Genomic DNA, 11,840 nt, shown 5'->3' with positions numbered 1-11,840 from the left:
AGTCACCTTTACGTAGTGGCTCAGGGGAAAAGGAGGAATCCCAGTCCCCAGAATTCTAGTTTTATCTACGTCACGGGTGGTTTTGGTGAAACCTGGAAGGATTCTGTGGTCACTTTTCCTCACTGATGTATGTTTCCTCCAAACTCAACTGTGTCATTTGATTAGCATGCAAGGGTCTGTGCTAGCAAGGCCAGAACAAAAGGAGGTTAAGGGGAAGGACAGCAGTTGTAGGAATAGAATATGGCCTTGGGGAGTCCAAGATCTCCTGGGCCTGGGTATCTGTGTGTGAACATCATCTGCACGTATGTGACTATGCTTGGGGCCCTTTAACTGTTGCACAGGCCAACATGTGGCCCCCAAGACCCTTATCTGACACCTTATGTGAAAACTCAGTGGATTAAAGACTAAACAAGAAATAAAGGTATACAATTTCTAGAAGAAAACGGGAAAAATTTATGACATTGGATTTAGCAGTGATTTATTGGATATGACACCAAAGACACGGGCAACAAAAGTAAAACTAAGACGACATCAGGCTTAGAAACTTCTGTGCATCGAAGGACACAATCAACCTTTCCCTTCTGTGCAGGGAAAAGGTAACCTGTGGAATGTGAGAAAATATCTGCAAATCATATATCTGATAAGGGGTTAATATCTGGAATATATAGACAACCACCACTCAACAGTAAAACAAGTCACCTCATTTAAAAATGAGCAAGGGACTTCAACAGACACTTCTCTGAAGAGGATATACAGTCAGCACTCTATCGATGGGTTTTGCATCCCTGGATGTAACCAGCCAGGGATTGAAAATATTTTTATTAAAAAAATGTGCCCATGCTGAACATGTACAGACTTTCCTTCTCATTGTTCTCTAAACAATATAGTGTAACAACTATTTACATAGCATTTACTTTGCATTAGCTATTATAAGTAATCTAGTGACGATTTAAAGGATGCAGGAGGGTGTGCATAGGTTACAGGCAAATACTCCCAACATCCTTAGATTTTGGTCCGTGGGAGGTTCTGGAACCAGTCCCCCACAGATACCAAGGGACAGTCGTATTTACAGATGACCAGTAGGCACATGAAAAGATGCTCAAAATCACTGACCATTAGAGAAATGCGAACCACAGTCACAATGAGATGATCACTCCATACTCATGAGGATGGCTATGATGAAAAACAGCATGGAGTTAGGATGGCTGTGATGAAAACAGCATGGAGGTTTTCCTCAGAGTTAGCATGTGATCCAGGAATCCCACCTGTACGTATTTACCCAAAGAATTGAAAGCAAAGTCTAAAGAGCCACTTGCACACCATGTTCACAGCTGCACTGTTCACAGTAGCCAAGAGGCAGAAACAACATAGCGTCAATCAACAGATGAATGGACAAGCCAGGTGGCCTGTGAGATGGGATATTATTAAGCCTTAAAAAGGAATGAAGGCCAGGCACAGTGTCTCATGCCTGTAATCCCAGCACTTTGGGAGGCCGAGGTGGGTGGATCACGAGGTCAGGAGATCGAGACCATCCTGGCTAACATGGTGAAACCCCATCTCTACTAAAAATACAAAGAATTAGCCGGGTGTGGTGGTGGGCACCTGTAGTCCCAGCTACTCCGGAGGCTGAGGCAGGAGAATGGTGTGAACTGGGAGGCGGAGCTTGCGGTGAGCCGAGATCGCGCCACTGCACTCCAGCCTTGGCGACAGAGCAAGACTCCATCTCCAAAAAAAAAAAGGAATGAAATTCTGACCCATGCTACAACATGGGTGAACCTTGAAGAAACTATGCCAAGTGAAATAAGCCAGCTGCGAAAAGGCAAATACTGTCTTTTTTTTTTTTTCTTTTGAGACAGAGTCTTGCTCTGTTGCCAAGCTGGAGTGCAGTGGCATGATCTTGGCTGTGCAATACCGTCTTATTCCCCTTCTGTGAGATGCCTAAAGTCAAATTTATAGAAACAGAAAACAAAATGGTAGTTACCAGGGCTGGGGGCAGGGTGGGCAGTTGTTTGATGGGTACAGAGTTTTAGTTTTGCAAGATAAAAAAAATTCAGACCAATATGAATAAACAATGCTACTAAAGTGTACACTTAAAAACAGTTAATATGGTAAATTTTATGTATTTTTTAACCACAATTAAAATGTATTATTATTTTTTATTGAGATGGAATCTTGCTCTGTTGCCCAGGGTGGAGTGCGGTGGTGCAATCTCGGCTCACTGCAACCCCCATCTCTCGGGTTCAAGCAGTTCTCCTGCCTCAGCCTCCTGAATAGATGGGACTACGGGCACCCACCACCATGCCCGGCTAATTTTTGTATTTTCAGTAGAGATGGGATTTCACCATGTTGGCCAGGCTGGTCTCAAACTCCTGGGTTCAAGTGATCCACGCATCTTGGCCTCCCAAAGTGCTGGGATAACAGGCGTGAGCCACCACACCCGGCCTGGAGTTAACATTTAAAAAGTGTAAGAGGCCTCTACTGGAATTAGATGATTATTTTTCAGACTTATTTTTAGAGATCACTTTGCAGAGTTCTGCTTAATTTGTGGCATAATAGAATAAATATTCCGATTTCTGAACTAAATAATCTGAGAATGTACTCATTTCATAATGTGAACCAGAATTGCTTGAGAAGCACAGAGGTAATGGGAATTAAGTACATTTAAAAAAGCAAATTCCAGGTCTATTTAGATGCTCTTTAAAGACCATTGCCTGTGACACCTGTTTCTAAAAGTTAATAATCTCTAGGCCAAAAAAGAAAAGAAAATGAAATGTTAACCAGTTTTTACTCCCCTTGATGACTTTCTTTTTTCCTTTTTTTACTTTCCTTTGTGATTTCTTTGTGAGTTCTTCCTAACTTCCCATTCAGGCCAAAATCATGAACAGCTTTAGATGTTGGTTACACTGTGAATCTTAACACTGAGAACCCACTTACCTTGCTAAGCATCTCTGCAGAGGCAAGGATGGTGCTTATTGTCGGGGGCAGATGACACTTTGCCAGCTGCTGTACCAAGTGCATTGCAGAGCCTGGTCTCATTTCATCTGCACCATGACTCACTGAGGTAGCTACGGTTTCCAGCTTACAGATAAGAGAGGAAAGCGAGGCCTGCGGAGGTTTGGGTGCTCAGCTGCACAGCCAGGAGCGGGCAGGACTGGCATCTGGAAGCCAGGTGGCTGACTGCAGACCCTGCTCCCGTTACCTCCGCTAGACGTCTTTGTGATCTCAGCTGATGAAGGGGCCGTACTCCAGGGCCGTCAAAACGAAACGGGACAGCTTTTTCGATAAATACAATTTATCTGAATAATGTAGGAAATACAGAATATAGTTGATGTTTTGTTTGGTGTTTTATTTTTGCCCTCCTTACAAGAGGACTGGCAGGAAGGGGACGGAGGCCGCTAGACTGGTCTGACTTCAGGGGCAGGTGAGAATGATGCCTTGGGCTGGGCTCACCGTGCCTAAGTGTGCAGTACAGAGAAGGCAAGGCTCTAGGGAGGTGAGGGCAGGCTGGCGGGTGGACGCAGCTCCCTGCTTCCTGCGTTTCACAGAGCCCAGCTGGCCCCTGGTCCTGATGCCATTTGAAGGAAAATGTCAGGAGCCAGATCAGGGCAGCAAGGAGTGGAGGCTCCTTTCATTCCTCCATACCCACTAGCTGTCACATAAGGCAACAGTTCTGCCCCCTCAGGGAGCTGCCTCACTCAGGCTCACGTTCAGGTTCCGAGCTTTGAACTTCAGTCAGTGTGCCAGCTGTCTGCTGAATTTCAGTCTCAACATACGAGGAATGGAAGGAAATTTCTTTAGCTTGATAAACAGCCTCTACAAAAAACCTGTAGCTGACATCAGACTCAATGCTTGAAGATGGGAGGCCTTCGCCTAAAATCAGGAATAAAACAAGAGCGGCTTGCCCCTTCTAGGTAATTGTGTACAGAAGGCTCTAGCCAGGGCAGTTAGTCAAGAAAAAAAGCATCCAATTCAAAAGAAAGGTATAAAACAATCTCTAGAGATTGTTGAAGATGGCTTAATCTTTTATGTAAAAAAAGCCTATGGCAGGGCACAATGGCTCACACCTATGATCCCAGTGCTTTGGGAGGCCAAGGTGAGAGGACTGCTTGAGCCCAGGAGTTCAAGGCCAGCCAGGGCAACACAGTGAGACCCCATCTCTACAAAACAAACAAACAAACAACCTATGGAATCTTTTTTTTTTGAGACGAGTTTTGCTCTTGTTACCCAGGCTGGAGTGCAGTGGCGCGTTCTCAGCTCACTGTAACCTCTACCTCCTGGGTTCAAGCAATTCTCCTGCCTCAGCCTCCCGAGTAGCTGGGATTACAGGCACCCGCCACCACACCTGGCTAATTTTTGTATTTTTGGTAGAGACAGGGTTTCACCATGTTGGCCAGGCTGGTCTGCAACTCCTGACCTCAGGTGATCTGCCCACCTTGGCCTCCCAAAGTGCTGGGATTACAGGCATGAGCCACCGCGCCCGGCTGGAATTCATTTTAAAAACCTTAGAAAAACCATGTTTAGCAATGTTGCAGGATATAAATTGTGTTTCTATATACCAGCAATGAGAAAGCCAAAATAAGCAAACAATTCCGTTTATAATAGCACCAAAAAGAATAAAATACTCAGGAATAGACTTAAGAAGTTCAAGATGTGAACACTGAAAACTGCAAAGCATTGTTGAAAGAAAATAAAGAAGATTTAAATAGATTGAAAGATATCTCATGTTTATGGATCAGAAGACTTAATATTGTTAAGAAGGAAATATTTCCCAAATCGATCTATAGAGTCAATACAATCCTTTTCAAAATCCCAGCTGACTTTTATGCAGAAGTTGACAAGCTGATCCTAAAATTCATAAAAATGAAAGGGACCCAGGATAGCAGAAAGAATCTTGAAAAATTATTTAGAGTACTCAGAATTCCCTACAAAGCTGCAGTAATCAAGACAATGTGGTACTGACATCAGGATAGAAATGTAGATCAGTGGAATAGAATTCCAGTCTAAATAGAATTTAGAGTCCAGAAGTAAACCCTCATATTTATGGTCAACTGATTTTCAAGGATGTGAAGACATCTTATTGGGCAAAAGAAAAGTGTTTTCAACAAATGGTGCTGACAATATGTAAATGACCAGTGAACACATGACAAGATGTTCAGTGTCTTTAAAGGTCAATGTATTAGTCTGTTCTCATGCTGCTAATGAATACATACCTGAGACTGCGTAATTTATAAAGGAAAGAGGTTTAATTGACTCAGTTCCACAGGGCTGGGGAGGCCTCACAATCATGGCAGAAGGCAAAGGAGGAGCAAAGTCACGACTTACATGGCGGCGGGCAAGAGAACGTATGCAGGGGAACTGCCCTTTATCAAACCATCAGATCTTGTGAGACTTATTCACTATCCTGAGAACAGCACACGGAATTCCCACCCCCATGATTCAGTTACCTCCCACCGGGTCCCTCCCATGACGTGGGAATTATGGGAGCTACAATTCAAGGTGAGATTTGGGTGGGGACACAGCCAAACCATATCAGTCAGGGATCTGCAAATCAAAACCACAATGAGAAACCACCTCATACCTGTCAGGATGGTGCTATGGCTTGAGTGTGTCCCACAAAGTTCATGTGTTGGAAACCTGATCCCCAGTACAACTGTGTTGAGAGGTGTGGCCTATAAGAGGTGATTAGGCTGTGACAGCCCTGCCTTCGTGAATGGCTGATGCTGTTATCAAAGGAGTGGGTTCGTGATTACGGACTTGAGTTCCTGATGAAAGGGAGCTTGGCCTTCTCTTGCTCTTGTTTTCACACACACTGTTGGACCCTCAGCCTCTTGCTCTTGTTTTCACACACACTGTTGGACCCTCAGCCTCTTGCTCTTGTTCTCACACACACTGTTGGACCCTCAGCAGTTGTGGCCCCTGGATCTTGGATTTTTCCACCTCCAGAATCCTGGGTCAAATACATTTCTTTTATTTATAAATTCCCCAGTCTCTGATATTCTGTTATAGCAAAGCAAAATGGACTAAGACAGATGGCTATAATAATAAAAACGATAAAAATAGTAATGTGATTATATTGGGTCATCCTGTAACAAATGGACCACACTAATGCAAGATGTTAACAATTGCAGAAACTGGGGGTGAGGGGATGGAAGAGTATGTGGGAATTCTTTGTACTCTCTGTGCATTTTTTCCCTAAACCTAAAAATACTCCAAAAAATAAAGTGTATTAAAATAAAAATAACAGGTGATTCTGTGGAGAAATTGGGACCCTCATAAGTTGCCAGCAGGAATGTAAAATGGTGCAGCAACCTTGGACAACATTTGGCCTCAAAATGTTAAACATCAAGTTGTCTTATGACCCAGAATTCCTAAGTGTATGCCCAGGAGAATTGAAAATATATGTCCATATGAAAACTTGTACCTAAATATTCATAGCGGCACTTTTCGCAATAGCTAAAAGGTGGAAATGACCTAAACGTTCAGCAAATGATTAATGGATAAACAAAATTGGTATGTCCATGAAATGGAATATTATTTGGCCATAAAAAATGAAGTTCGGATACATGGTACAACATGGATGAACCTTGCAAACATCATGCTAAGTGAAATAAGCCAGGCACAAAAGACCACATACTGTACGATTATATTTATATGAAGTGTCCAGAAGAGGCAGGTCTATAGGGACAAAATATAGACCAGCACTTGCTCAGGGCTGAGGGAGTTAGCAGGTGCATGGGAAACGAGGGGTGACTGCTAAGGGTACGGGGTTTCTTTGGGGGGAGATTAAAATATTCTGAGACTGGATTACGGTGACGATTCCATAACCCAGGACATGTATTAAAACAATTGAATTGCATGCTTTAAATTTGATGATTTGTAAACTATATCTCTACAAAACTGATACAAAATGTAAACCACATTTCTCACTGAAGAAGTTTTGGGTGACCCTCCCATAAGTTGATGCCTACTGTGAGAGCACAGTATCATGATGCAAAAATGTTTGTTGAACCTCAAAGCTCACTAGATGAGGCACAGATGAGAAAACCTAATGCTTCTGTCAACCTAAAGATAGAGCACTGCAATGGGAATATGCGTTCCACAGTAAACGCTGCATATTCAGACAGGGAAGGAATCACATAATTATTCTGAGATAATTGTCCTCAGTACAGAGATCGGTAACAAGGACGATCCAGTCTGGGGCTGGACAGGCAATTGCTGGGCAGGTGTTCTTGCCAAAGCACCTTTTGTGTAAGGTTGTGATAGCCTTGGTGCAAGGTTTTGGGTTTTGTCATCATTTTTGTTATCAATATACAAGCATGAGAACCCTCTCTTCAAGGCCTTCCCTGACTCTATTTGTCAGGAGTTTTTGTTTGTTTGCTTGTTTGTTTTTCTTTAAACTAGTGAATCTTTTCTGACTTTTTTTTCTTTAACACTAGTGACCCTTTTTTGACTCTGACAATTTTCACATTTCCTCTTCTGATCAAGATCTTTCTTTAAAAGCCTCACTGATCAATCAACCTGTGGTTGCGTTTTGATGCCTCTCCGTGCTGGGATGGACCTGTCATCGTTGGTGGTCTCACCCCACTTTGAGGGGAATGATTGGTGACTAGGATCCAGTGTCAAAACCCTTTTAGCCACATCTGAGCAGCAAGGGAGGTTTGAAGGGAGTGGCTCCCTGGATAAGTCTACCTGGAGTGCATTGTTAAGTGCAGTTTTGTCTTTTCCATGATCTTTTGCTATCATCTGAAAGTGCTGGGCCAGCATTATGTTATTAGGAGTTGTACTTCTGCAGATCAGTTAACAAGTAACCAGGCATGGTGGCTCATGCCTATAGTCCCAGCTACTCAGGAGCCTGAGGTGGGAAGACTGTTTGAGTCCAGGAGTTCAAGGCCAGCCTGGACAACATAGCAATATCCTATCTCAAAAAAATTATCTTTATTCCTATGTATCCTAGATGGAAAAAAAATGACAAGTAACAGATACAAAGTTTAAAAAGGGGAAATAAAAAGTAAAATTAATAGTAATGTGACAATCCCAGTTTGCATCCATGAACTTGGTAGGCTTAAAGACGAATGAATCAATGACCATAGGGAATTAGGTAAGACTTGAATGATGTGGCCTGTTTTCTTCTTTTGTGTATATGGGTCTCAACTTTCCCAGAGGAATTTATCCAGGTACCACAATAAGAAATGCACAGGCATTTTCTTATTTAACCAATGAATACTAAAGGATTTTTTTTTTTTTTTTTTGAGACGGAGTTTCACTCTTGTCACCCAGGCTGGAGTGCAGTGGTGTGATCTCAGCTCACTGCAACCTCCGCCTCCCGGGTTCAAGCGATTTTCCTGTCTCAGCCTCCTGAGTAGCTGGGATTACAGGCATCCACCACTGCACCCAGCTAATTTTTGGTATTTTTTAGTAGAGACGGGGTTTCACCATGTTGACCAGGCTGGTCTCGAACTCCTTACCTCAGGTGATCCACCCGCCTCGGCCTCCCAAAGTGCTGGGATTACGGGTGTTACTAAAAGATTTTTAAAGGTTACGTTCTGTTAAGTTACCAGCAGAAGCTACTGATTGTGAAATTTCAATTTCATTATTATCCTGTCAAGTGAAAAGGATAGACATTAAGAGGAGTTGAGTTAGAGTCTCCTTATGATATGGAGTCTTGTTCCAATGTCCAGGGAAAACTGTTTACAACATGAAAACATCAACTTTTCCTCCCAGTTTGCAGCTTGAATATCTCTGGTTGTGGCATCAAGCAGTTTGGTGAACCTTATGTGTGGACCATACATCAGGCATGAGGCTTGTTTCTTAAAATGTGTTTAGGTTCATCTTACAGGGCTTTAGAAGAGAAGCAGTTTTAGTTTTTAGTTGGAGAATTATAACCAAACAATGAAGAAAATTAGGAGAATTCAGGATCTAGCCCATTCTACAGGTAGATAACAAGAACTCGAAAACAAGGCTCAGAGCTACAGTCTAATAACAAGGGTATGATAGTTTTTCTTTAGAAACATAACTTTTTCTCCCTACACTGATGACGTAGGTTATCAGATTTAAAAACCTTTTGAGGCTAGAAAGCCAAACCTGGGCAGATCTTCGATTGTACTTACAACCTGAATGTTCCTGGGCCTGCCAGGAAATTACAATTTTTATTTACTGATTGTAAGGCTGGAAAGTCTTAAAACCAGGCTTTCTATGGATACCTTCAAATATGATATTCAGTCAAAACCTCTGTACTATAATCAATGTTTCCAATTGTATCCTGCTGTAAAGAGAGAATAGATTTTTGTTGAACTTATATAAATAATTATATTGTACTTAAAACTAGGACTATACATGAATAGTTTCCAAATTTTGGAACAATCAAGTAAACAGTAAAATCAAATGCCTCCACCTTTGTTCACTAAACTATACCAAATTGTTGTAAACTATAGACAGCTTTTGAGAGACAATTTTCTTAAATCTGGAAAATAAAACATGTAGGTAAAGAACTTACAATGTTTCAAATAAAAGTCATTAAAACGTGTTAATTTTTAAATTTCATATAATTAGTATTTTGTTTTGCTTGATCTTGGTTAGCAGTGTCATGGACCCGTCAGTTTCTTCATCAGAGTTCTGGAAATTCTTTTTCCGTTCATGATCTTAAAGTTATCAGAAATCTGTGTCCAAGAGTTCTTGCAAGTCTTTTTATGAAAGGCAATTTGGGACTGTAGTTGATTGCAAATACTTTTAGGGAATAATCGAAAATAATAACGAGAGAAGCCCAAATGCTTAGAATGGCCGTGGTTAAAAATCTGATGAAAATTCCTAATTATCAAGGAAATTTAGTTACTTACATACAACATATGGCTTTTTTTTTCTTTTTTTTGGCAGAGTTTCCCTCTGTCATCCAGGCTGGAGTGCAGTGGCACGATCTTGGCTCACTGCAAGCTCCACCTCCTGGGTTCACGCCATTCTCCTGCCTCAGCCTCCCGAGTAGCTGGGACTACAGGCACCCGCCACCATGCCCGGCTAGTTTTTTTGTGTTTTTAGTAGAGATGGGGTTTTCAACATGTTAGCCAGGATGGTCTCAATCTCCTGACCTCGTGATCCACCCGCCTCAGCCTCCCAAAGTGCTGTGATTACAGGCGTGAGCCACTGTGCCCGGCCAACATATGGCATTTTAAGATAACAACCGGAATCATGACTGACAGCTGGACTGATACCAGGACCATGAAACTTATAAATTTCACATCATCTTTAGAATGCATTAATAACATAGTCATACAAATATAGCTTCAGAAAAAATGTAATATAACAACGAAAATTATGACAGATAACATATTAGATTTCTATGAGTTTACATAATTTTTGAAACATATCAACAACATACCGATAAATGTATCTGAAAGAAGATCTAGTATCACTTATAATTTGACAATGCTTCCCTACAATTTACCAAATAAGCCTGATTATTTAATGTCTCAACAAGACGAGAGATACATGTTTTGAGTCTCTTCAGGAGCACAAATAGAAAATCCAAAAGTTAGTTCTAGGTCAAAAAGACTTAATTTGGTATTCTGATATTTGGGAAGCCTACAAAATATATCAAAAAGTATAAAACACTTGATCAAAACAGAATCACAGGGCCAGGCGTGGTGGCTCGTGCCTGTAATTCCAGCACTTTGGGAGGTTGAGGCAGGTGGATCACTTGAGGTCAGGAGTTCAAGACCAGCTTGGCCAACATGGTGAAACCCTGTCTCCACTAAAAACACAGAAATTAGCCAGGCGTTGTGGCAGGTGCCTGTAATCCTAGCTACTAGGGAGATTGAGGCAGGAGAATCGCTTAAATCTGGAAGGTGGCAGTTGCAGTGAGCTGAGATTGCACCACTGCACTCCAGCCTGGGCAACAGAGTGAGACTCCTGTCTCAAAAAAAAAAAAAAATTACAAGTCATGTAAAATATTAATCATTCATTTAAGCAGAGTGATAGTTAAAATACTTCAAAAGCAAATACGGAAAGTTACATGAATGTAAAAGCCTTAACCCATTTAAAGCTCAGTTTTCCGCTTGAGTAATCAAAAACTTAATAAAAAAACAAATCTAACTTGATAAAATGTAAAAATGTCTTGTGTTTAGGCTAGTTACAAAAAGTAAAGAAGAACCTCCTGCTGTATGATTGCTTCTCCTTAGATAACCCAGAAGTCAAACCTGAAGAAAAGGGTACTTGAATTTAATTAGACACAGGAAGAGTGCGTCCAGGGTTATGAGTGTTCACTTTATCATAGAGGACTGTAAACAAGCAAAGGAGTGCCTGGAGCAGGGAATTACATGACTCTTAGTAACAGCACAGGAATTTTCTTGGTTACACAGAATAATCCAGACACATCAGGAAAAGCCGGCCAGGCCAGTGGCTCATGCCTGTAATCCCAGCACTCTGGGAGGCCAAGGCAGGAGGATTGCTTGAGCCCAGGAGTTCGAGACTAGCCTGGGCAACATAGGAAGACCCCCCCATCTCTACAAAAAATGGGAAAAAAAGAAACATTTCAGGATTAAACATCAAAACCTCTTGCAATTTTCCTAAGGGCAAATCAATACTTTAAGAAAACCTTGTTCTAACATAGGTGATATGGTTTGGCTCTGTGTCCCCACCCAAATCTCCACTCCATTTGTAATCCCTAGGTGATATGGTTTGGCTTTGTGTCCCCACCCAAATCTCCACTCCAGTTGTAATCCCTAGGTGATATGGTTTGGCTCTGTGTCCCCACCCAAATCTCTACTCCAATTATAATCCCTATAATCCCACATGTTGAGGGAAGAACCCGGTGGGAGGTGGTTGGATCATGGAGGCAGTTTTCCCCGTGC

The 11,840-nt window shown here is 41.9% G+C and overlaps 1 long non-coding RNA gene across 1 annotated transcript in view; it reads left to right on the top strand.

The window, feature by feature from the left end:
* The window catches only part of CTDP1-DT (CTDP1 divergent transcript), a 40,818-nt gene that overhangs the window by 3,562 nt on the left and 25,416 nt on the right, over positions 1-11,840 (top strand). The window lies entirely within an intron of this gene.

The sequence above is a fragment of the Homo sapiens genome, chromosome 18, assembly GCF_000001405.40.
Source record: "Homo sapiens chromosome 18, GRCh38.p14 Primary Assembly".
NCBI classification, from domain to species: domain Eukaryota; kingdom Metazoa; phylum Chordata; class Mammalia; order Primates; family Hominidae; genus Homo; species Homo sapiens.
The sequence above is the reverse complement of the archived record's forward strand: the minus strand, read 5'-3'. Positions and strand labels throughout refer to the sequence as shown.